We start from the raw sequence: 26,234 nt of genomic DNA, 5'->3' as shown, positions 1-26,234 counted from the left end.
CCTTAACATGCTTTTCATACTTAAAAGTGTTTGTCCTCTTTGGTGCAGAGAGAAGGAATTACCCTAACAGGCTGCAGTCTCCCACTTGGTGACTTAGTCATTTGTTCACATGCAAATGATCTTTCTTCCCCAGACCTAATATACTGAAACAAATGATTACCCTTGGAATATAAGAGGGGCAAACTAGTGCCAAATAAAAGTAGTACCGAAGAGGAGAGTATTTAGGAAAGTTTGTTAGTCAAAAGAGGAGGCATGATAATCAAAGACATCAATATACAATTTACAAAAGAAGAAAAAACAACTAGTAAAATATAATAAATATTTTGAACTCAAGAAATGCAAATATAAACCACTACTAATTTTTTTTTGTTTTGAGTATTACTTTGCCAAAGTTGAAAAATATTGACAGTACCTACCAAGAACCAGTGTAAAGAGGTGCCACTCTGATGTATTGCTGCTGTTGGGAGTTTCTTTAGGACATATTTCCTGAACAGCAATTTGGTGATAGGTGCTACATCAGTCAAGGTTCAATCGGAACAGAAGCCATTCTAGGAAAGAAGAGGAATGATATTGAGTATTTACACTGAGGTTTACACAACAGCTGGGAGTCTGGAGGAATGTAGATTGGGAAGGCTCCTTTCAAGAAATCCAGCAGTGCAAGATTACAAGGCGGTCACCAGTTATATCTTAGCTCCCTGCAATACTGAAATAGGTGATTCTCCAGAGAGCACCTGGAGACACAGATGACCTCACTGATGGTAGTGCTGATGTGTATAGTTCTCATGAGGATGCCCAGATGCAATTGGAAAACTTCATGTTTGAGTTGCCCCATGTGTCAGCCCTAAGTTGTTCCCAGAGAATAATAGCTTTTCCTTCTCCATCTCACAGGAGTGCCTCTCATTAACAGATTCTAAACTGAACTTTAACCCAAAGGAGTCTGAGAAACATACTTTCTGGGCTTTAAGCCCCTGTGTTACATGGGAGAAGAGCAGGGATGAGCAGTCTAGGTCCAGAACCTATATTAATATTTTAAATATACTTTTGACTTATTGATTTCTTCTCCAGGAATTTAAACTGAGAAATTAATGGATGAGAGTATGTAATACATGTGGAAGGATGTTCATCACAGTGTTGTTCATAAAACAGAAACAATAGTAACTATGAATCCAGAGAAAATTAGCTAAATAAATGAAACATTCCACAGAAGAATTCTCAGGTGGGAGACATTACCAATTTCTGGTTCTCTTCGCCTTCCCTGAGGCACACAGAAGATTATATATCCCAGGCTTCCTGAAGTTAGATGGCACCATGTGACTACTTCTGGTCAGAGGACCAGGAACAAAGTGTTTCAGGTTGACTTTTAGACCAAGGCCGTGGAACGCCTTTGTGTAATGTTCCAGCACTTTTCCCCTGCTGCAGTGACCAGAAGTCCCTCACCAAGATGAGAACCATAAGATGGAAGAGGCATGGATCTGAGAGTCACCATTTAGGAACACCGGACCCACAGCCAACTGTGTAAGCAAGAAGTAATTCTTTTTTCATTAAGCCACTGAGTTGAAAGGGTTAATTTGTTACTACAGAATAACCTTGCCTATCCTGACTACTGCAGATTATTACCCATGAAAAGATTGATATTTCTGTTCATTGAAATAGAAAAGTGAACACAACATATTGTTTCAAGCATATCATTTGATAAACGTTAAGCTGTGAATAAGTATTTTGAATGAAGCAATGAATGGATAAAAGCAAGTTACAAATAATATCTATAGTAAGATTCCATTTTCCTAAAATTGTATGATTGCATATATGGTACATGCATTAAATGTGTAGAGAAAGTAAATGTAAAAATACTCACCAGAATATCAACTATGGTCATCCAAGACGGTGGAGTTTCTGATGATTTTTGCTTTATTCTATATATTCTTCTATATGTTGGATGATTTTCATGAGATGCCTGTGTATTATCTTAATAAATTAGAAAGTACACATACATTAATAGCAATAATAGAACATAGTAAATTCTAGCTTTTGTTAGTTGTTATTTTATTACATATAAATGGGAAATATTTTAAGCAATTCCCCAAAACATTTAAACTCATAATTTATTGTCTATTCATTGAAGTATAAACACACTGATTTGGGTGACAGATCCAAGCGTGCTTTTAGGCTCTGCCTTTAGCAGCGGTGTGACATTGGCAAATGTGTCCCTTAAAGATTCAATCGCTGCTATTAAGACAGGCTTTTGACCCTGAATAACTGAATGTGAATTCATATTCTTCCTTTTAGCAGTGGTATGATTTCAAGCAAATACTTAAATGCATTGGACCTCAGTGTCATCATCTGCGAAATAGAGATATATTACTTTCCTCCTAGGGATGATTAAATGAGCTTCATTGTCATTGGGTAAGAGATGTAGAAGTAAAGAACCTTAACTCTGGGACCAGACTATCACTGTGCAAACCTGAAGCCTGCCACTGGTTAGCTATGTGACTCTGGACAATTCTCTTTAACTTTTTGTGCCTTAATTTTCTCACCTGGAAAATGGAGGTGATAAAAAGATTACCTATGTGAAGGTTTTTTGCAAGAGTGCATGAGTTAATATTCATTGAATACTTAGAAAAATTTCTGGTGGGAGGAGCCAAGATGGCCGAATAGGAACAGCTCCGGTCTACAGCTCGCAGCATGAGCAGCACAGAAGATGGGTGATTTCTGCATTTCCATCTGAGGTACCGGGTTCATCTCACTAGGGAGTGACAGACAGTGGGCGCACCGTGTGCGAGCCGAAGCTGAGCGAGGCATTGCCTCACTCAGGAAGTGCAAGGGGTCAGGGAGTTCCCTTTCCTAGTCAAAGAAAGGGGTGACAGAGGGCACCTGGAAAATCGGGTCACTCCCAACCGAATACTGCGCTTTTCTGACGGGCTTAAAAAACCACGCACCAGGAGATTATATACCGCACCTGGCTCGGAGGGTCCTACACCCACGGAGTCTCGCTGATTGCTAGCACAGCAGTCTGAGATCAAACTGCAAGGTGGCAGCGAGGCTGGGGGAGGGGCGCCCACCATTGCCCAGGCTTGCTTAGGTAAATGAAGCAGCTGGGAAGCTCCAATTGGGTGGAGCCCACCACAGCTCAAGGAGGCCTGCCTGCCTCTGTAGGCTCCACCTCTGGGGGCACGGAACAGACAAACAAAAAGACAGCAGTAACCTCTGCAGACTGAAATGTCCCTGTCTGACAGCTTTGAAGAGAGCAGTGGTTCTCCCAGCACGCAGCTGGAGATCTGAGAACAGGCAGACTGCCTCCTCAAGTGGGTCCCTGACCCCTGACGCCCCAAGCAGCCTAACTGGGAGGCACCCCCCAAGTAGGGGCAAACTGACACCTCACAAGGCCAGGTACTCCTCTGAGACAAAACTTCCAGAGGAAATATCAGACAGCAGTATTCGCGGTTCACAAAAAACCACTGTTCTGCAGACACCACTGCTGATACCCAGGCAAACAGGGTTTGGAGTGGACCTCTAGCAAACTCCAACAGACCTGCAGCTGAGGGTCCTGTCTGTTAGAAGGAAAACTAACAAACAGAAAGGACATCCACACCAAAAACCCATCTGTACATCACCATCATCAAAGACCAAAAGTAGATAAAACCACAAAGATGGGGAAAAAACAGAGCAGAAAAACTCAAACTCTAAAAAGCAGAGCACCTCTCCTCCTCCAAAGGAACGCAGTTTCTCACCAGCAACGGAACAAAGCTGGACGGAGAATGACTTTGACGAGCTGAGAGAAGAAGGCTTCAGATGATCAAATTATTCCGAGCTACAGGAGGACATTCAAACCAAAGGCAAAGAAGTTGAAAACTTTGAAAAAAAATTAGAAGAATGTATAACTAGAATAACCAATACAGAGAAGTGCTTAAAGGAGCTGATGGAGCTGAAAGCCAAGGCTTGAGAACTACGGGAAGAATGCAGAAGCCTCAGGAGCCGATGCGATCAACTGGAAGAAAGGGTATCAGCAATGGAAGATGAAATGAATGAAATGAAGTGAGAAGGGAAGTTTAGAGAAAAAAGAATAAAAAGAAATGAACAAACCCTCCAAGAAATATGGGACTATGTGAAAAGACCAAATCTACGACTGATTGGTGTACCTGAAAGTGATGGGGAGAATGGAACCAAGTTGGAAAACACTCTGCAGGATATTATCCAGGAGAACTTCCCCAATCTAGCAAGGCAGGCCAACATTCAGATTCAGGAAATACAGAGAAAGCCACATAGATACTCCTCGAGAAGAGCAACTCCAAGACACATAATTGTCAGATTCACTAAAGTTGAAATGAAGGAAAAAATGTTAAGGGCAGCCAGAGAGAAAGGTCGGGTTACCCACAAAGGGAAGCCCATCAGACTAACAGCGGATCTCTCTGCAGAAACTCTACAAGCCAGAAGAGAGTGGGGGCCAATATTCAACACTCTTAAAGAAAAGAATTTTCAACCCAGAATTTCATATCCAGCTAAACTAAGCTTCATAAGTAAAGGAGAAATAAAATACTTTACAGAAAAGCAAATGCTGAGAGATTTTGTCACCAGCAGGCCTGCCCTAAAAGAGCTCCTGAAGGAAGTGCTAAACATGGAAAGGAACAACCGGTACCAGCTGCTGCAAAATCATGCCAAAATGTAAAGACCATCGAGACTAGGAAGAAACTGCATCAACTAATGAGCAAAATAACCAGCTAACATCATAATGACAGGATCAAATTCACACATAACAATATTAACTTTAAATGTAAATGGACTAAATGCTCCAATTAAAAGACACAGACTGGCAAATTGGATAGAGAGTCAAGACTCATCAGTGTGCTGTATTGAGGAAACCCATCTCACGTGCAGACACACATAGGCTCAAAATAAAAAGATGGAGGAAGATCTACCAAGCAAAGGGAAAACCAAAAAAGGCAGGGGTTGAAATCCTAGTCTCTGATAAAACAGACTTTAAACCAACAAAGATCAAAAGAGACAAAGTAGGCCATTACATAATGGTAAAGGGATCAATTCAACAAGAAGAGCTAACTATCCTAAATATATATGCACCCAATACAGGAGCACCCAGATTCATAAAGCAAGTCCTGAGTGACCTACAAAGAGACTTAGACTCCCACACATTCATAATGGGAGACTTTAACACCCCACTGTCAACATTACACAGATCAACGAGACAGGAAGTCAACAAGGATACCCAGGAATTGAGATCAGCTCTGCACCAAGCAGACCTAATAGACATCTACAGAACTCTCTACCCCAAATCAACAGAATATACATTTTTTTCAGCACCACACCACACCTATTCCAAAATCGACCACATAGTTGGAAGTAAAGCTCTCCTCAGCAAATGTAAAAGAACAGAAATTATAACAAACTATCTCTCAGACCACAGTGCAATCAAACTACAACTCAGGATTAAGAATCTCACTCAAAACTGCTCAATTACATGGAAACTCAACAACCTGCTCCTGAATGACTACTGGGTACATAACAAAATGAAGGCAGAAATAAAGATGTTCTTTGAAACCAACGAGAACAAACACACAACATTCCAGAATCTCTGGGACGCATTCAAAGCAGTATGTAGAGGGAAATTTATAGCACTAAATGCCCACAAGAGAAAGCAGGAAAGATCCAAAATTGACACCCTAACATCACAATTAAAAGAACTAGAAAAGCAAGAGCAAACACATTCAAAAGCTAGCAGAAGGCAAGAAATAACTAAAATCAGAGCAGAACTGAAGGAAATAGAGACACAAAAAACCCTTCAAAAAATTAATGAACCCAGGAGCTGGATTTTTGAAAGGATCAACAAAATTGATAGACTGCTAGCAAGACTAATGAAGAAAAAAAGAGAGAAGAATCAAATAGATGCAATAAAAAATGATAGAGGGGATATCACCACCGATCCCACAGAAATACAAACTACCATCAGAGAATACCACAAATACCTCTACGCAAATAAACTAGAAAATCTAGAAGAAATGGATAAATTCCTGGACACATACACTCTCCCAAGACTAAACCAGGAAGAAGTTGAATCTCTGAATAGACCAATAACAGGATCTGAAATTGTGGCAATTATCAATAGCTTACCAACCAAAAAGAGTCCAGGACCAGATGGATTCACAGCCGAATTCTACCAGAGGTACAAGGAGGAACTGGTACCATTCCTTCTGAAACTATTCCAATCAATAGAAAAAGAGGGAATCCTCCCTAACTCATTTTATGAGGCCAGCACCATCCTGATACCAAAGCTGGGCAGAGACACAACAAAAAAAGAGAATTTTAGACCAATATCCTTGATGAACATTGATGCAAAAATCCTCAATAAAATACTGGCAAAACGAATCCAGCAGCACATCAAAAAGCTTATCCACCATGATCAAGTGGGCTTCATCCCTGGGATGCAAGGCTGGTTCAATAGACGCAAATCAATAAATGTAATCCAGAATATAAACAGAACCAAAGACAAAAACCACATAGTTATCTCAATAGATGCAGAAAAGGCCTTTGACAAAATTCAACAACGCTTCATGCTAAAAACTCTCAATAAATTAGGTATTGATGGGACGTATTTCAAAATAATAAGAGCTATCTATGACAAACCCACAGCCAATATCATACTGAATGGGCAAAAACTGGAAGCATTCCCTTTGAAAACTGGCACAAGACAGGGATGCCCTCTCTCACCATTCCTATTCAACACAGTGTTGGAAGTACTGGCCAGGGCAATTAGGCAGGAGAAGGAAATAAAGGGTATTCAATTAGGAAAAGAGGAAGTCAAATTGTCCCTGTTTGCTGATGACATGATTGTATATCTAGAAAACCCCATTGTCTCAGCCCAAAATCTCCTTAAGCTGATAAGCAACTTCAGCAAAGTCTCAGGATACAAAATCAATGTACAAAAATCACAAGCATTCTTATACACCAACAACAGACAAACAGAGAGCCAAATCATGAGTGAACTCCCATTCACAATTGCTTCAAAGAGAATAAAATACCTAGGAATCCAACTTACAAGGGATGTGAAGGACCTCTGCAAGGAGAACTACAAACCACTGCTCAATGAAATAAAAGAGGATACAAACAAATGGAAGAACATTCCATGCTCATGGGTAGGAAGAATCAATATCGTGAAAATGGCCATACTGCCCAAGGTAATTTATAGATTCAATGCCATTCCCATCAGACTACCAATGACTTTCTTCACAGAATTGGAAAAAACTACTTTAAAATTCATATGGAACCAAGAAAGAGCCCGCATTGCCAAGTCAATCCTAAGCCAAAAGAACAAAGCTGGAGGAATCACACTACCTGACTTCAAACTATACTACAAGGCTACAGTAACCAAAACAGCATGGTACTGGTACCAAAACAGAGATATAGATCAATGGAACAGAACACAGCCCTCAGAAATGATGCCGCATATCTACAACTATCTGATCTTTGACAAACCTGAGAAATACAAGCAATGGGGAAAGGATTCCCTATTTAATAAATGGTGCTGAGAAAACTGGCTAGCCATATGTAGAACGCTGAAAATGGATCCCTTCCTTATACCTTATACAAAAATTAATTCAAGATGGATTAAAGACTTAAACGTTAGACCTAAAACCATAAAAACCCTAGAAGAAAACCTAGGCATTACCATTCAGGACATAGGCATGGGCAAGTACTTCATGTCTAAAACACCAAAAGCAATGGCAACAGAAGCCAAAATTGACAAATGGGATCTAATTAAACTAAAGAGCTTCTGCACAGCAAAAGAAATTACCATCAGAGTGAACAGGCAACCTACAAAATGGGAGAAAATTTTTGCAACCTACTCATCTGACAAAGGGCTAATATCCAGAATCTACAATGAACTCAAACAAATTTACAAGAAAAAAACAAACAACCTCATCAAAAAGTGGGTGAAGGACATGAACAGACACTTCTCAAAAGAAGACATTTATGCAGCCAAAAAACACATGAAAAAATGCTCACCATCTCTGGCCATCAGAGAAATGCAAATCAAAACCACAATGAGATATCATCTCACACCCGTTAGAATGGCAATCATTAAAAAGTCAGGAAACAACAGGTGCTGGAGAGGATGTGGAGAAATAGGAACACTTTTACACTGTTGGTGGGACTGTAAACTAGTTCATTGTGGAAGTCAGTGTGGCGATTCCTCAGGGATCTAGAACTAGAAATACCATTTGACCCAGCCATCCCATTACTGGGTATATACCCAAAGGACTATAAATCATGCTACTATAAAGACACATGAACACGTATGTTTATTGTGGCACTATTCACAATAGCAAAGACTTGGAACCAACCCAAATATCCAACAATGATAGACTGGATTAAGAAAATGTGGCACATATACACCATGGAATACTATGCAGCCATAAAAAATGATGAGTTCATGTCCTTTGTAGGGACATGGATGAAATTGGAAATCATCATTCTCAGTAAACTATCGCAAGAACAAAAACCAAACACCACATATTCTCACTCATAGGTGGGAATTGAACAATGAGAACACATGGACACAGGAAGGGGAACATCACACTCTGAAGACTGTTGTGGGGTGCGGGGAGAGGGGAGGGATAGCATTGGGAGATATACCTAATGCTAGATGACGAGTTAGTGGGTGCAGTGCACCAGCATGGCACATGTATACATATGTAACTAACCTGCACATTGTGCACATGTACCCTAAAACTTAAAGTATAATAATAATAATAATACAAAATTTCTGGCACTTTTAAGTATTTGTGACTAAAAATAAATAAATACTATATGGGATGTGTTTGAAAAAGTGCCTGGCACATAGTAAGCATTCTCTTTCAATTTCAGTTATTTTACATAAACTCAGCCTGGTGGAAAGTAAGAACATCATAGAAATGATGTGTTTCTGTTAAGAAAAACTAAAATGCCTAAGAGGACTTCCTTATTCTTTGAGAATGTTATTTAGAAAGTGGATGCCTCATAGGAATCTTCTCTCAAATATTCCACAGTTCTGTTACAGAGGGCACCAAAGTTGGCCAGCTTGGTATTGGAGCTGTTCCTCTTTAGGAACATTTTGGAACATGTTTACATTCTTAGGTCAAACTGTCATAATAAATATGTGTGGATATGAAGAGATGTTATCAGAAATACCAATTTTAAATGGTTTCTAGATTGAGATCTATAGATACCACAACTGCTTCCTCCCCACCAGGACCCCTCAAGGTAGTTGAGGAGCCATCGAACGTTAGGGGGATGCTGGGTTTGAGGAGGGCTTCTTGCCACCATCCACATCCATCACATCATCTCCAATTCTGTCTATTTCGCATATCAATAGGCCACATATATCATGGTGATTTGCTGAAAATTTAATGTAATAAGACTGCTTATTAAAAGATTAAAGAATGGTACTTTCTTTTCTCTTAGATAATCTCCTATGAAAGAACAAAAAATGTATCACCCCCACACCTCAAAAGAGTGACGGGCCCTAATCCTTAGGTCTACATTCCAGGTTGCAGAGTCAAAAGAGCTTGCACTGTTGCTTCCTCCACCCACCTCTTCAACAGCCAGGAGCAGAAGAATTCCCTAATGATAACTCCTAAAGAGACACTTAAAGTTCAAAGCTCTAGCACATGATGAAAGTAAGTTGAATGACCTAAAGAGGAGAAATATGGAGATGGTGCACCCTGACGATTAGGAAGGGAAGCTCCAAGGCTTCTGAAAGAGTGAATCTCCCGAACTTAAATAAGATAATGATGCTAAATGCCCTACACAAAATGGAATCTCTCTGAGACAAGCCGGTCCTCAAAAAGCCTGGCAACATGGGCACTTATAAGGACTTGGTGTTAAGCACAGAGCCTCGGTAACCTCAGCAAAGACACTTCGTGGCAGAGATGGAAAAGTGGAGCCATCTTGTCTTGATGGATCATGAAACCATGGTGGGGAGCCAGGGCCACAGGAATTATTGTGCACTAATGACCCATGCCTTGCCAGACATAAAAGACTCAGAGGATCTTTTTAATATTGTCAGGGAGAGGCTGGAGCCAGATTTGATCTGTTGAAACAAATATATAAGTATGGTATCATCTGTATCCCAAGTGTCATGTAGTAAATAAATGTTATTTTCATAAGACTTTCAAAAAAATAATTTTCCTGCTTTAAAAAAAGTTAGAAAAGCACTATTATTAGAACCCACCACTCCCTCTAGCCACACTGTGCTTTACCTACCACAGGAAGGATTCCAATGAAGGAATTTTTAGTTCTTATGGGTTCAACATCAACACACAAACAATTTGGATAAAGTCTAATGACATACTCCATGATGTACATCCCAAGCCAACATAGCAAAGAAGAGAGCAAAATTCAGAAAAGTGGAAAGATCAGAGTATCAGCATCCATAAGGGTGTTGAATATTAGCTCACAACAGTAGCTGAGTTCCAGCAAACTGTAGAATAGCTGCTTTCCATCCTTCATCTCACTCCCCACTAAGCTTTTGTGTGTGTGCCCCTAGTCTTTTCAAAATAATAAAAATATACCAGATTGCAGCTGAAAAATATGGCAAACCTAGGATTTTTACCCTCTGATTATTTCCACCCCAGGGAAGAGCTACCATGAAAGTGCTGTGTCTAGTGGCTGAAATTGAGGCCCTGTAGGATTTAAAACATTCCAAGGAAAATAAAAAGCTGATGGCACAAGTCTAGAGATTAAACTCTCATTATCACTTTTCTCTGAGAGTTCAGAAAGAAATGTGAAATAAAGTCACTGAAGCAGAGCCAAAAGCCACTCTCATTTTGGTACAAGCAACTCCAGCTGCCTTTTTTTTTTCTGTGTAATTTATCATGAAAGCATTGCTTCTATTCCAGGGCATAGGGGAAGCTGGAAGTCAATTTCATCCACCTCTTTTGAAGAGTATCATGGGTGACATGGGAATTAAAACAAAAGAAAAAAAATCACATCCTATACCAGGAAAAATAATAGTCAGCAGCATAAAGGAGATAAGTACCACTATTATGGTCTAGAATTAATGAGAACTCCAGGCAGCCCGAAAAGCTTTTCTTTCAGAAACTCGATGGTGTGTTTTCAGTGCCTCTTTGAATGACAAAAGCAAGGTGGATGCCCCTTCTCCAGCATGGTGAGCCCTAGGAGAGGTGGTCTTCCTTGATTACTTCTTCCTTTTTAATGAATTATCTCCATTTCTGATGCAACTCTAAGGGCAATGGAGAGTAGGGGGCTGGAAGTGAGAAGCTGAATTATTTTGGGAAAAATATATCAAGTCAGATACATGCGTCACGCATACATCAGAATGAAATCCAAATGGATTAAAGTGTAAAATGTAAAAAAATAAATAAGACCCAGAGATAATTGATTATTTAGTGGATATCATTACAGAAAGCCTTTATAAGCATAAAAGCAGAAAGTGCAAAGGAAAATGTTAACAGAATTTGTTACATGAAATTTAAATTTTTATATACCATGAAACATTATAAATAAAATGAATAGGCAAATAAACAACAGAGCAAATATTTGCAATATTTAAGATAGACAAAAGATAAGCATCTGTATACTTAGTTTCTTTTGGTATTTTTTTTTTTGTTTGTTTGTTTGTTTGTTTTAAGACGGAGTCTGGCACTGTCGCCTGGGCTGGACTGCAGTGGCGCAATCTCGGCTCATTGCAAGCTCCGCCTCCCGGGTTCATGCCATTCTCCTTCCTCAGCCTCCCAAGTAGCTGGGACTACAGGCACCCGCCACCATGCCCAGCTAATTTTTTGTATTTTTAGTAGAGACGGGGTTTCACCGTGTTAGCCAGGATGGTCTCGATCTCCTGACCTTGTGATCCGCCCTCCTCGGTCTCCCAAAGTGCTGGGATTACAGGCGTGAGCCACCGCGCCTAGGCAATTAGTTCTTATAAAGCAATAAGAAAAACCTTCAGTGAAAAAATAGATAACATACTCTACTCTCAAAAATACAAATTATCAATAAGCATATGAACAAAACTTTACCTCATAAAGAACCCAAATGTGGAAATAATAAATAATACTCTCATCAAATGGCAAAGTTGCTTTTTTTCCTTTTTTTTTTTTCTTTTTTTTTTTGAAACATAGTCTCACTTACTCTGTTACCAAGGCTGGAGTGCAGCGTTGCAATCTGGGCTGACTGCAATCTCCATTTCCTGGGTTCAAGCGATTCTGCTGCCTCAGCCTCCCGAGTAGCTGGGATTATAGGCACACACCACCACGCCTGGCTAATTTTTTTTGTATTTTTAGTAGAGATGGGGTTTTGCCATGTTGGCCAGGATGGTCTCAAGCTCCTGACCTCAAGCGATCCACTTCCCTCAGCTTCTCAAAGTGCTGGGATTACAGGCGTGAGCCACTGCGCCCAGCTGCAAAGCTGTTTTTTCATGACAAATCCATGTTGATAAAACTCTGAATCTTTCTCAAATAAATTGGACAATGTATAGTCTAACAGAAGCCTAATTATGATGAGATTGCCAAAAATATGTCCTGCTAGATCATGGAGAGCAGGAGCCAAAGAGACTTTCTCTGTGTACACTCAACCACGCTACTAGGAAGGACATATTTCTAGGTTTTTGATGCGACCTTTTCCTCTCCCCCAGGATAGCATTGCTGCCTAAGGCCAGATCACGAAGTAAGGGATGGAACTCACACACACCCAGCGCTATGGGAATTTTATCACAATGAACAATCTGCAGGTACTTCATCCCGTGTGTCTGCTGTAACACCAAATCTGGGTTCACTAAGCTTGGTAGGCCCAGCCATGAAGGTCCACAGCACAGCGTATCACACATCTTCATATTCTTTGACTCAACCATTCTGCTTGTGGAAATATGATGTAGCAAAATAGAGATGAATACAAATTCTGTCCAAGGCTATTTGTGGAAGCATTTTTTATTATTGAGAAAACATGGAAATAGTTTGAATGTTCTGTACCTGAGGGATAGCTAAATTATGGAATCCTCAAATGATGAAACACCAAGCAATTAAAAGTAATATTTCTAATAAACTTTTAATGACTTGTGAAAGTTCTCAAGATACATTAAGTAAAAAAAATTGAAACAAAACTCAGTGCCACTGCACTCCAGCCATGATGTCAGAGTAAAACCCTGTCTCAAAAACAAAACAAAACAAATGAAAATCAAATGCTTCCTATGGTTTGATACAGATGTTTTAAAAAGAAATGCCAGAAGATAACAAAATATTAACACTGGTTATTGTTTTGTTTAATTATAAATTTATAATTTAAAAAATATTTTGTAACTAAAAAAGTAGAACATAATAGTTAAAATTAAAACAATCTATGAACATGTAAAACAAAAATAAAACCCTTCACATGTTTCACTCTTCATCACTGACTTACTTAACACAAGATTGAATCGGTATACATTCTTTTTGATATTTTCCTAGGAGGATTTACATTTATTTATTTTAGGAAAATTGAGTCATATTTAGAACACATTTAGTGTGCTAAAACTTTATTTTCTTCATTCAAAAGGATATCATGAATGTCTTCCATGTACTTACATTTAGATAGATATTCTTTGTTATTTTCTAGCAGCAAACTAAATGTATGACTATTTTTTATTTCTTTAATTTTTCATAATTCAAATTTCTCCAAAATGTTCGATAATTCTATAATAAGCATATATTACTTCTAGGATCAGAAAAAAAAATACACATTTTTAAAGAGAAGGAGGACTGTCTTCTGCAGTGAAGACAGGGAGAGGGGCAATTCCTTGCAAATATCCCCTCACTATGGGAATGGGAGAGCCATCTACCGGAGAAGCATTCCTTTTTTCAGCCTTGTAACAGACAAGCACTGAGGACTTGCTGTGTGTCAGCCCTGCAGGAGGCGCTGGGGAGACAGAGGTCACTGCCCTCCTGCCCCGTGCCTCATCTCGTTGCCAAGATCTAAGCACCTGCCTCGGAGTCAGCTCTCAATAAATGACAAAACTGAAATGTGCTACTGCTGCTGAAATGGAGCAGGGAGCTCCCCACCAGAAATAAGAACATTAAAGGGGGAGAAGCGACTTTGGGGTTCCCTTCAATTCATGATTTTCTGTTAATGCCTACTAGGAATGGAATAAATGCTTTTCTGTGCCCCATAGCTGTTCATAATCTGGTGGGGAGACAGCCTTGTACGTGGATGATTCTACCTTACAAAATAAAATGTCCTCAACCCTGGAGGCAGACAGACTTAGATTTGAATCCAGATAGTTCATGAGCTTTAAAATGAGAATGATAAAACTGTCTCATAGAGATGGATAGGAATTAAGGGAGAACTTGGGGGAAACGCCCAGCCAATGCACAGCACATGGTAGATTTAATAAATGAACCTACTCAGAGGAACCATCCATTCTCTGGCTGCCTTTCCCCTGCATCACCTGGGCAGGGAAGATCAGCATCTTTATCTAGACTCAAGTAGCCACTCTGATGGTTGCTAAAGTGCCATGTTCTGAAGGGTCTGACACTGTGTCTAGGTTCAGTACCTAAACTCTGCCACAGGCAAGGGGGGAGGAGGGGGTAGAGCTGTTGCTTGTCCTCCCTAAACCCAGGTATTTTCAGAAGTGCATGATCATTTTTAAATTGCCCCAAGTCAAATAAAAGCAGGAAAACAGATCTGTTACTACTAAATAATTTGAAAATATAGTGACAGGATGTGGGATTATCTGGGATTTCGCATTCTAGACATCACCTCTCCTACCCTGGGAGGCATGTTTCACAAACCCATGCCTGATTGTGCAAAAACAGAGAAGAGCAAAAGAAAATATTGAGTTAGAGTTGAGCTTAAATAAGACTAGAGGAAGTAGTCTTGGTGTAGCTTTGAAATAAACCTAATGTGGGTCCTGTGGTTTTTTTCCTAGCTGCCATTAACAAAGCAAAACAGTTGAGCATTTTATGAGCAACTGTCATCCCTGTTAAAGAACGCAATCTAAACAGGAAAGAGGTTTCCACACTCAAAGTGATATTGTCTCACTAGGTTGTAAATGAACCCTAAACAAGATTTTAAAAAGCAGCATATTAAAAGGATGCAATCATCACTTGAGGTCAGGAGTTCGAGACCAGCCTGGCCAACATGGTGAAACTCCCCCCGTCTCTACTAAAAATACAAAAATTAGCCAGGTGTGGTGTGCACGCCTATATTCCCAGCTACTTGGGAGGCTGAAGCAGGAGAATTGCTTGAACCCAGGAGGCGGAGGTTGCAGTGAGCTGAGATCATGCCACTGCACTCCAGCCTGGGCAACAGAGTGAGACTCCATCTCAAAATAAATAAATAAATAAAAGGACATTCAGCAACCCTGGATACATTTACTTTCTGTGTAAACATATGTTTGCTGAAGTCAAGGTAAACTGAACCACTCTGCAACTAGAGTTCTGACCAATTCCATCAAGAATTGTCTTGCCTGGATATCATAATTTTATCAGTGGAGTTTACCCAGGATCAGATGTTTCTGCATTAACCACTACCTGTATGAAGTTCTGAAATCTCTATGGCATTTAAAAATAAACCCACTAATTAAAAAAAAAAAAAATGTGTCCTGTTTAGTAAAGCCTTCTTTGAAGTTCCCTCAGATTAAAGTGATGTCGCCCTGCTCCAAGTTCCCATAGGTCTGCATTTACGTCACGTTACACCTTGTACATAAGTGATGGGTGTGCATGTGGCATAGTTCCTCCAGAGGCTATGCTCTTTGAAAGCAAAGCCTAGGACTGCTATCTTTAGCTTTCCCAATGAATTCAGCTCAGTACATAGTAGGTGCTTGGTAAATGTTTGTGAAATGATCAAAGAATGAATGCGCACACATACACACACAAATTATTCTAGACAAATGATATACAAACTTTGTTACAGTCACCTCAAGCCAGAGTGTCCTTCACCAACTCAAATGGCTAAGAAGCCAAGTGGCTAAGGTAAGGGAGTGAAGCAGGCCTGAGACGGGGCATTTATTTGGTGAATTGATGAAGGGTGTGTTCTATCTAAAGACAGCAGCTGCCACTCAGTTCCATGTACTTGTTGCTATGTAGAAATTTGCAATGGATTTCCCAAATCCTTCTTTTTCAGGTGCCAGAAATCTTGACCTATGTGAAATATTTTTGGTTTTAAAATCTCACCACCTAATTAATACATTTTTAAATACAGAGCAGAACAAATAGAAGCTACCTGTGGGTCAGACATAGGACAAAGGCTTATACTTGTAAGTCAGGTATTTTACAGATTCATTGCACCATGCCCTTCCCTTGGGATATGTTCTTGTTTAATCTCTCACTGCCAGACATAAGTATTTCCCTTCAGTCTATAAACCTCTACCCTGGTCTTCACTGTTCTTGTGATCTTACTGGGAGGATTTTCTCTAAGACCGGGTTTATTGCTGTTTGTCTGTCTTCCCCTGGTTTTGTTGACTCTTGTTAGGACAAACACAATTTTCCTCCCCAAACCTGGCCCTTTCTACTATCTTTCTTGTGTTTTTGCCAAGTGAAGGCCATTTTTGCTCTTTATAATCCAAACCACTGCACACTTTTTCATCTAACCTTCTTTGAAATTCATTGATCTCAACTCAGCGAAGTTTCTTTCATTCTACTTGCACTTGAATATCCTTCTCTTGTGTCAATCAATTCCCTTCTACCTTTTAAATCTGGGCTTTCTCTTTTGCCATTTTTCCTTGTGAATACAGTTTAGGCTTCATGTTTGTCCAGGAAACTATGCCTTTGACTACAGAACCACCAGCCACAAAGTACACTGTTTTCCTTTTTCCAGTGGACTCACCAATCCATGTTGGGGATCTTCTGTGAGTAGCCACACTGACTTACACAGGATGTCATTTTATAACGGCATCCTGATCACCGTTTTATCAATATGTTGTGACTCTTGGGACACAGAGATGACATTAATCTATCCTAATCCTAAAATGTCACTGAAATTCTGGTCTCTTCTCTTAACATGCTGGGAGTTGCTGTGGATTTTGATTCCATAGTCTTTAGCAAGAAAGAAGTTTCTGGGGAAAAAATATAATACTCAGATACTTTTTTTTCTGCAGAATAAAAGTCTTCCCGTATAATCTCCTCTGATTTATCTTTTCAAAACCTTTCCCCTGTTCCCAAAGCCATATAACCTACACAACCTAACATACTTTAAGTAGAAATACTGATGTTCACTTTCAAACTGGTGCTACTCAGCTGAAAAGGCCTCTCATGCTTACCTTTTTAACTATTCTTGTTCTAGTCTACATGGGCTGTAAACACTACTTCAAAATCTTATTTTTCCAATTTGTGAAAGGTAGATCTCTTCAAATGATTGGGCTTGAAACTGAAGAGGTTGTTAAAGAAGATAGTCGGGCTTTTTAAACTATAAAGAACTGGAGATGAGCTAAAGACATATTTCAGGGCATTTTATAAACATAAAATAATAATGGCAGTAATCAAGATGTCATTAAAAGATACATGAAACTAGCATGCAGGAAACGCACAGATTCAAGAACAATCTTCCTAGGATACCTACAGGATAATCAAGTTGGACTAAAATGTGTTGCATATTCATTCCCAATTAGTCTGAACTCAGTTAAATGATACTCTTTACAATGTTAGTCAAAGAAAAACAGATAACGCTAAAGTAAGATTAAGGGTGCTGATGGGCAAGGGATGGAGGGGGTGAAAATTAACCAAAGTATGAAACCCTCAGACTTCTGAGTGGCCTGGTGACCTTCTGAAGGCTATCTGCCAATATCTGAGTTTGAACTGAAACTTGAGTTTGGTAAACAGAATTGTGGTATTGTATAAATTTCAAATCAAATGTCCATTCAGAGGCTGTGTATTTTTCAGGTGTTTCCATGGTTACATAAAAAGAAAATTGTAATTCACATCTTACTACCCCAGGCTTTTAATACTAAAATCTTCAGAAGTCTTAAAATTGTAAGCCACTGATGTAATTTATTTGCCCCATTTCATTTCTGGTCATATAGTCTGAATTATAGTGGCAAACTACAGTAGCTTATTATTGCTTAATACCAATTCTAAATCTGATTGAGTGGTTCAAAGAATTCCCTTCTTAGCTAGAACCACCAGAGACAAGCCAGACCCACCTCTTGGTCTAGACAAGCTAGATCCATCCAATTCCAAAATGTCACTGGGTCCTGTCTTGAGATTCAGAGTACTTGAGTCAGTATTCAAGTACTGACTACGAGCGTTGCTTTATTTGTTTTTGAGATTTTCCACCATTCTTTCTGCTCCATAATATGAGAAAGTAACAAGATTTTAAGAGAACAACATTATCCATATAGAAAAATATATTAAAATATTCAAGCATCAAAGCTATGCCTATTTTGAGGCAACACAATGCTGCCTCTTATTTAAGCATGGCTCTATTCCCCAAATTGTGTTACTTCTAGCTTTTGGTTTAGAGATTTTGTGTTTGGTATTCAAGGTTAACTTCCTAGTTGATTCAATTATTAACAGTAACAACCGCCACTGTGAAAATGAGATGCTACACAATATTTGGCCTTAAAAGTTAAGAACCTATGAGTTAACTAGATGATCTAATCTAGCTTCAAATTAGCCACATGAAAATAAACTAAATGCTCTTTCCTCTTCATGTTGCAAAGCATTAAAATGTCATATTCTGTAACTTAAGAACGACTGTTCTCATTTGATTCAGGAGATGGTGTGGCATCTTTAATTCCTTTATCAATATTATCTCAGACCAACAGATGGAAGATCTGGCAATTAAGAAGAATGAGCATGTGGTGTACTTATGATGCCTCTTCCACCCCCCTGTGAAGTTTGCTTACTGAAATTTGTTTTACCTTATCCACCAAGTAGGGATTTTGGAGCCAAAAATTACTAAGAAAACATTAAAGAATTTAGGGAAATTAATGATATATTATAGAGGCAGAGACAGAGAATAAATTCGCCACTCTTTTCTCAGCCTATTTCTCTGTTGCAAGATTTTATTCTAACAGACAAGTATACAATATTCCTTGTTCTTTGTTCTTATATAGGGAAATTGTGACATAGATTTTGTCGATAGTAAGTTAGTCAACAAGCATATACTAAGCTTTTAGGCCCTACGGACACACTGGTGACAACAGATAATGGCCCTGTCCACTCTAGAACCAGCAAACTCATAGGAAAACAGGCAATAAGAAAATTACTTCATTTCTTAAATGTAAAAGAGTTGAATTTTAGATCATAGCTCCAGGGATCAAGACATGTTATGTGCTATATCCCTTTTCGTTCCAGCAAGAAACAGATAGTAAAGTCAAGCAAGTAAATGGGAGGTTTTAATAAAGGGAATATTTATAGAGTTGTGGGCAGGATTTAGTCTCCTAAAAGGACTAGTGTTGCACTCCAGTGTGGAACAAGGAATGGTGGAGTCCCCCAGGGCAATAACAAGGAATGGTATGGTACCCTAGGTCTAGTAACAGCAGGGAGCCAGCTGTAACAACCAGGTTCCTCCCCTGCCTTCACTAGCCATCCCTTTCCCTACACCACACACACACACTGAGAGAAATAATAAGGACAAGGTTGGGGGACCTGGAAGAAGAACTGTATGGAGAAATGTGCTGATAGAAACCATTGCCTCAGTGGAAGAAAGCAACAAACCCCCAGCAATCCGGCAGAGAGGAAGCTGGGGAATTAATACACCAACATCATTCTTTTCTATCCTGTCTCCTATTGGTGAATACAGGACCAGAACTAGGCATACAGTTTAAAGAGGCCCTCGCAGTACCCTGGGGTCCTCATTCCTTTTACCCTAATCCCAGCCCTGAGCAAACCCAATTAAAGCTGGAGGGCAAAGCAGCCTGTTGGAATTTTGCAGGGCACAGAGGAAGTCTGAGAGAGTAGAGAGCAAATTGATAGGAGAACAAGTAGAATACTTAGCACACCTCCCTTTATTTTTCTAAATCAAATTATACCTAGTCTAAGTCTCCATTCTTCTGGTTGCAGAGAAATTCAATTTCAGTAAATGTCTGGCTCCATTCACTTCCTTCATGGGATTATACTGATAGAAACATCCTGAAAATTTGTGGCAGAAATACTGGAAGAGGGGCCAGGTCTTGATGGTTGTGGCCTCCTCTAACTTTTTCCATTACAATACTTGATATTCCTCTACTTCAGGAATTTACGCATCTAGGTACTATCTATACAATATTATTATTTTCTTGATATGTTCTTCAAATTCATTTAATTAGTAGAAAAAAAGGAATAGCCATTCAACCATTTTTAACATGTAAAGAGTATATATATTCCGTATGCACATTAAAATAAGTAAGTAAATGGCTGCTTAAAATTAGTCTACATTGTTTGAAGTTAGGCAATATGATGCCCCAGATATATTCTTTTTGCTTAGTCTTGCTTTGGCTATGTGGGCTCTTTTTTGGTTACATGTAAGTTTTAGGATTGTTTTTTCTAGTTCTGTGAAGAATGATGATCGTATTTTGATGGAAATTACATTGAATCTGTAGATTCTTTTGGCAGTATGGTCATTTTCACAATATTGATTCTACCCATCCATGAGCTAAAGTTACCAAAACAGCATGGTGCTGGTATAAAAATAGGCACGTAGACCAATGGAACAGAATAGATAACCCAGAGATAAAGCCAAATGCTTACAGCCAACTGATCTTCAACAAAACAAAAACATAAAGCAGGAAAAGGACACCCTATTCAACAAACGGTGCTGGGATAATTGGCTAGCCACATGTAGGAGAATGAAACTAGATCCGCATCTCTCACCTTACACAAAAATCAACTCAAGATGGATCAAAGACTTAAATCTAAGACCTGAAACCATAGAAACTCTAGAAGATAACATCAGAAAAACTCTTCTAGACATTGGCTTAGACAGAGAGTTCAGGACCAAAAACCCAAAAGTAAATGCAACAAAAACAAAAATAGATGGGACCTGATTAAATTAAAAAGCTCTGCACAGCAAAAGAAATAATCAGCTGAGAAAACAGATAACCCACAGAGTGGGAGGAAATCTTCACAAACTGTGCATCCCACAAAGGACTAATATCCAAAATCTATAAGGAACTCAAACAAATCAGCAAAAAAAAAAAAAAAAAAAAAAAACCCACAAATAATCTCATTTAAAAGTGGGGAAAGAACATGAATAGACAATTATCAAAAGAAGATACACAAATGGCCAAAAAACATATGAAAAAATGCTCATCACTATCAGGCAAATGCAAATTTAAAATACCACCTTATTCCTGCAAGAATGGACATAATTTAAAAAAACAAAAAATACTCGATGTTGAAGTGGATGTGGAGAAGAGGGAACACTTTTACACTGCTGATGGGAATGTAAACTAGTATAACTACTATGGAAAACAGTGTGCAGTGTGGAGATGCCTTTAAAAAACTGAAAGTAGAACTACCATTCAATCCAGCAATTCCACTACTGGGTATCTACCCAAAGGAAAAGAAGTCACTATATTCAAAAGACATTTGCACACACATGCTTATAGCAGCACAATTCACAATTTCAAAAATGTGGAATCAGTCTAAATGCCCATCAACTAACGAGTGGATAAAGAAAATACCACTCAGCCTTAAAAATGAACAAAATGTCATTCACAGCAACCTGGATGGAGTTGGAGACCATTATTCTAACTGAAATAACTCAGGAATGGAAAACCAAATATCATATGTTTTCACTTATAAGTGGGAGCTAAGCTGTGAAGATACAGAGGCATAAGAATGACATAAAGGAATTTGAGGACTCGAGGGGAAGGTGGGAGAGGGGTGAGGGCAATGAGGGATAAAAGATTACACATTGGGTACAGTGTACACCAAAATCTCAGACATCACCACTAAAGAACTTATCCATGTAACCCAAAACCACCTGTTCCCCCAAAACTATCGAAATAAAATAAACTATAAAAGAATATTTAAAATATTAGTCCACATTGTGACCCTTGTTTGAATATTTTTGGCTTGCTCAATATTAAAGTCCATCTTCCCAACCACAGCTGCCCTGGACAAGCCCAGGGATGCATCTCATAGGAGTTATTTCCACACACCAGTTTTACAGCTTCCTTCTCCCCACTGGTGCAAAGCAGGGCTTGGTCTCTGCCAACTTGACCTTATTCTCTGTCTCAGCAGTCACTCTGACACTGCCTCTAACTCTGCCTGTCCATGCACTCTGCCCATCCTTTCCCTTCTCCACTGAGGAATCCACAATTAATCCTCCTGGATGGACCCAACCCATAAGATCTCCTGGCTCTACTAGTTCAAGAGTACTCAGAAATTTAGAAACATAGTAGTGGCTTCTCTGTTATGGGAAGAGAGAAGGGAATCACATCACTTATAAAATACGTTCTTCCTAATAATTCACACTGTCACTAAATAATAACAGCTGTTACGATGAAACAAACAGTGGTAAAGAAAACTGCCTGCAGGGAAGGAGGATATGACCTGCACAAACTTGGAAAGAATTGGCCACAGGCAGCCTAGAGAAAGGTGTGCAGAAGTCAGAGTGCCTGAGCTTGGCAGGCATTCTTGCTAATTTTGCAGGAGACCTTCCAAGTTTTCTAGGTACCTGCCTTATCACCTTTGCTAATGATGATAAACTGTTGCCTCAGGATTCACAGCTACCCTTTCACACTGCGTATGGATTTATTGCTATCAGCCTTAAACGGTAGATAGCAATTAAGGGAAGATGAGTGTGTGGTATAACATAAAAACTTGCAGGTGTTGCTTTGATCCTGAGTGACATCCAAATGTAATGGAATTTCTAGGGACAAATCTCCTGGAAACTATGTATAGTAACAAAGCTATTGATCTTTTTTTTTAATGGAAGAATAAAATTGCCCATCTGGGCATGCCCTGTAATGGCCCATGTGCTAATGCTTCCCACCCTAGGTCAGCACCGAAAGAGTTCAACTAGTGTAACTGGAGCCCAGTGAGAGCTGGGAACCTGGAAGAGGGACTATCTGGCTGGGGTTGTTACCACAGGACACTGCTACTGCTGAAGAAGCATCATTGACACATGGAGACAGCAGGGAAGAAACTCTCCGACCTTTTTCTCCTTCAACAAGCCAATTTCTTTCTTCTTGCCTCCCACTGGTTTAACCCAATGAGAAGCCAGCCAGAAAGGGAGGTGAAAAATGTCGACCTCAAGGATCAGCTTTGCAGGGCACAGAGCAGAGAAGAGAACAGGTTCAAGGTGGACGGGCAGAGGGAAGATGATTTGAGTTATTTTTATCTTCTCCATTTTAGACTCCGGAGATCCACTTAGCTCAGGTGAACCTGACAGGATGAGAAGGAGGGCTAGGAGAGGGCAGAAAATGCTCATTCCCCCTGAGCAAACTCTACAAAACTCATCGGTTTTTTCAACATTTTTGAGGTGGCATACTGACATGGCTGTAAGACTCTGATATAAAGACATAGGAAGTGTGTAATTGACCGTGAGAGTCATAAAAAAAGTATTAAGGATGCATTTTATTATGATCTTATCCCCTTAACCACTAATAGTATGGATATTGAATACTGAGTTAATAGAGAATATTCCATAATAGGATAGCAAAACAGCATTCATAGAAAATTGCCCTTCTATAAGCACCTTTTTTCAGAATATGTGGGTCACAGTGACACACCATCAAGATTTCTCATCAAAATGAAGTTATTAGTTCTCAGCTATCAGCACCATCCAGAGATTACCTTATCTTGAAGGAAGCCACTCATCCAAGGTCACACACCTTGTCCCAGTCCCAGAACAGCCCACATCCAATGACTGATTAACACAGGCCTGTAAAAGACCAGCCCTTTCATTCCAACTAGGGACCCAAGGGTCATGCCATCTTCAGAACTCCCCATAGGAATGACTGAGGTTTCCACTGGACTGCATCTCAGCCCAGCTTCTTTCTCTGCACAATCCTACTTCTTTTCCTCCCTTTTACAGGTTGATCCCAAGAGCACTCCCTAACAAAAGCCCACCATGTCGATCTCCGAGTGTGTTTTCCTGGGACTCAGCCGGCATCACAGAGAGATCCTAACAAATAAACATTTGTATTTCCCTATATTGTTCAACATGCCTCCTGTTTAAAACAGCAAAACAAAGAGATTATTTTCCTGCCAATATTTCATTAAACCCTCTACACATTAGTTTCCCTTTTCCTTTTTTTTTTTTTTTTTTTTTGAGATGGAGTCTCGCTCTGTCATCCACACTGGATTGCAATGGTGCAATCTCGGTTCACTACAACCTCTGCCTATGGGGTTCAAGTGATTCTCTTGCCTCAGCCTCCTGAGTAGCTGGGATTACAGGTGCATGCCACCATGCCTGGCTAATGTTTTGTATCATTAGTAGATACTGGGTTTCACTTTGTTGGCCAGGCTGGTCTTGAACTCCTGACCTCAAGATCTGTCCGTCTCGGCCTCCCAAAGTGCTGGGATTACAGGTGTGAGCCACCGCACCCAGACATTAGTTTCCCTTTTCTAAGATTTTAGTTTTGCTCTTGAAATGTACTTGGAGAAAATGAATAGACCTGGATTATTTAAAATAAAACCCCAAATACACCAAGTCTTATACCAGAAAACCAGAGAAGAAGGCAAAAGGAGAACCAAAGGCCAAGTCAAAAAGGGATGGGCCGGGTGTGGTGGCTCATGCCTGTAATCCCAGCACTTTGGGAGGCCCAGGGAGGCAGACCACTTGAAGTCAGAAGTTCGAGACCAGCCTGGTCAACATGACAAAACCCTGTCTCTACTAAAAGTACAAAAATTAGCTGGGCATAATGGTGCATGCTTGTAATCCCGGCTACTTGGGAGGCTGAGGCAGGGCAACAGCTTGAACCCTGAAGGAGAGGGTTGCCGTGAGCTGAGATTGTGCCACTGCCCTCCAGCCGGGGTGACAGAGTGAGACTCCATCTCAAAAAAAAACAAAAAAAGGTGATGAATGAGAATGTAAGAAATGTATTTACACATCCAATGAAAAAAATGCTTTGTAAATGGAAGGCAGATGCCTGGTCTCATGGACTTTTGCGATGGAAATCTACTAAGTGCTTTAATAGTATCTTATTTAATGGAAAAAGAGGAGATGCTGATGACTATAAATTATGTGTTGCATTATGGCAGTTATTAAATGATTATATATGTCAAGAAAAATGATGAAATTTAAAACGAACTATAGTGGCTTTGTAACTTGTCCTGGCTGATCTACATTTCTCAAAATTCCTTTCTTGTATGTTTCTAGTTAGAGTAGGCTGCAACGGAGATTCTTAGGAGAGACTTGGAGGGCAGCAGTGAAGCATCGTCCTTCCGTAGCTCACATACATTGTTGCCGATCGTTGGCATGTTGGCATGACTGGGGTGACAACTGCTCCACTTTCTTTGGATCTACCAACTCTATAGTGGTCACACACAGAGGTAGGATGGGCCCACATGACCCAAAATTTGGTTCAAATGCTGAGACTGATGACACTACACATGCATCAAGAGGTTATGAAAAGGTCTTACCCACATAATGAGGTTTTCTGGGGAGAGCAAGAGAGGTTCTCAAGCAGAACCTGTAAAAATGACAGGAGAGAAAGCAAGAAAAAGAGACTGGCTGTGCAGAAGCTCTTTAGTTTAATTAGATTCCATTTGTCAATTTTGGCTTTTGTTGCCATTGCTTTTGGTGTTTTAGACATGAAGTCCTTGCCCATGCCTATGTCCTGAATGGTATTGCCTAGGTTTTCTTCTAGGGTTTTTATGGTTTTTGGTCTAACATTTAAGTCTTTAATCCATCTTGAATTAATTTTTGTATAAGGTGTAAGGAAGGGATCCAGTTTCAGCTTTCTACATATGGCTAGCCAGTTTTCCCAGCACCATTTATTAAATAGGGAATCATTTCCCCATTTCTTGTTTTTGTCAGGTTTGTCAAAGATCAGATGGTTGTAGATATGCGACATTATTTCTGAGGCCTCTGTTCTGTTCCATTGGTCTATATCTCTGTTTTGGTACCAGTACCATGCTGTTTTGGTTACTATCGCCTTGTAGTATAGTTTGAAGTCAGGTAGTGTGATGCCTCCAGCTTTGTTCTTTTGGCTTAGGATTGACTTGGCAATGCAGGCTCTTTTTTGGTTCCATATGAACTTTAAAGTAGTTTTTTCCAATTCTGTGAAGAAAGTCATTGGTAGCTTGATGGGGATGGCAAAATAAACTGCCATCAGAGTGAACAGGCAACCTACAGAATGGGAGAAAATTTTTGCAATCTACTCATCT

The 26,234-nt window shown here is 39.7% G+C and overlaps 1 long non-coding RNA gene across 1 annotated transcript in view; it reads right to left on the bottom strand.

Annotated features, from left to right (window-relative positions):
- Nucleotides 1-416: 416 nt before the first annotated feature.
- The window catches only part of SAMD12-AS1 (SAMD12 antisense RNA 1), a 105,067-nt gene continuing 79,249 nt past the window's right edge, over nt 417-26,234 (bottom strand). Inside the window, exons 4-5 of the long non-coding RNA NR_038210.1 lie at nt 1,856-1,965; nt 417-548 (exon numbers count right to left, since the gene is read on the bottom strand). This is a non-coding gene — a long non-coding RNA (SAMD12 antisense RNA 1). The remainder of the gene's footprint in view (nt 549-1,855; nt 1,966-26,234) is intronic.

The sequence above is a fragment of the Homo sapiens genome, chromosome 8 (assembly GCF_000001405.40).
Source record: "Homo sapiens chromosome 8, GRCh38.p14 Primary Assembly".
In the NCBI taxonomy this organism is placed as follows: Eukaryota; Metazoa; Chordata; class Mammalia; order Primates; family Hominidae; genus Homo; species Homo sapiens.
This window is presented reverse-complemented; position numbering and strand designations above follow the sequence as displayed.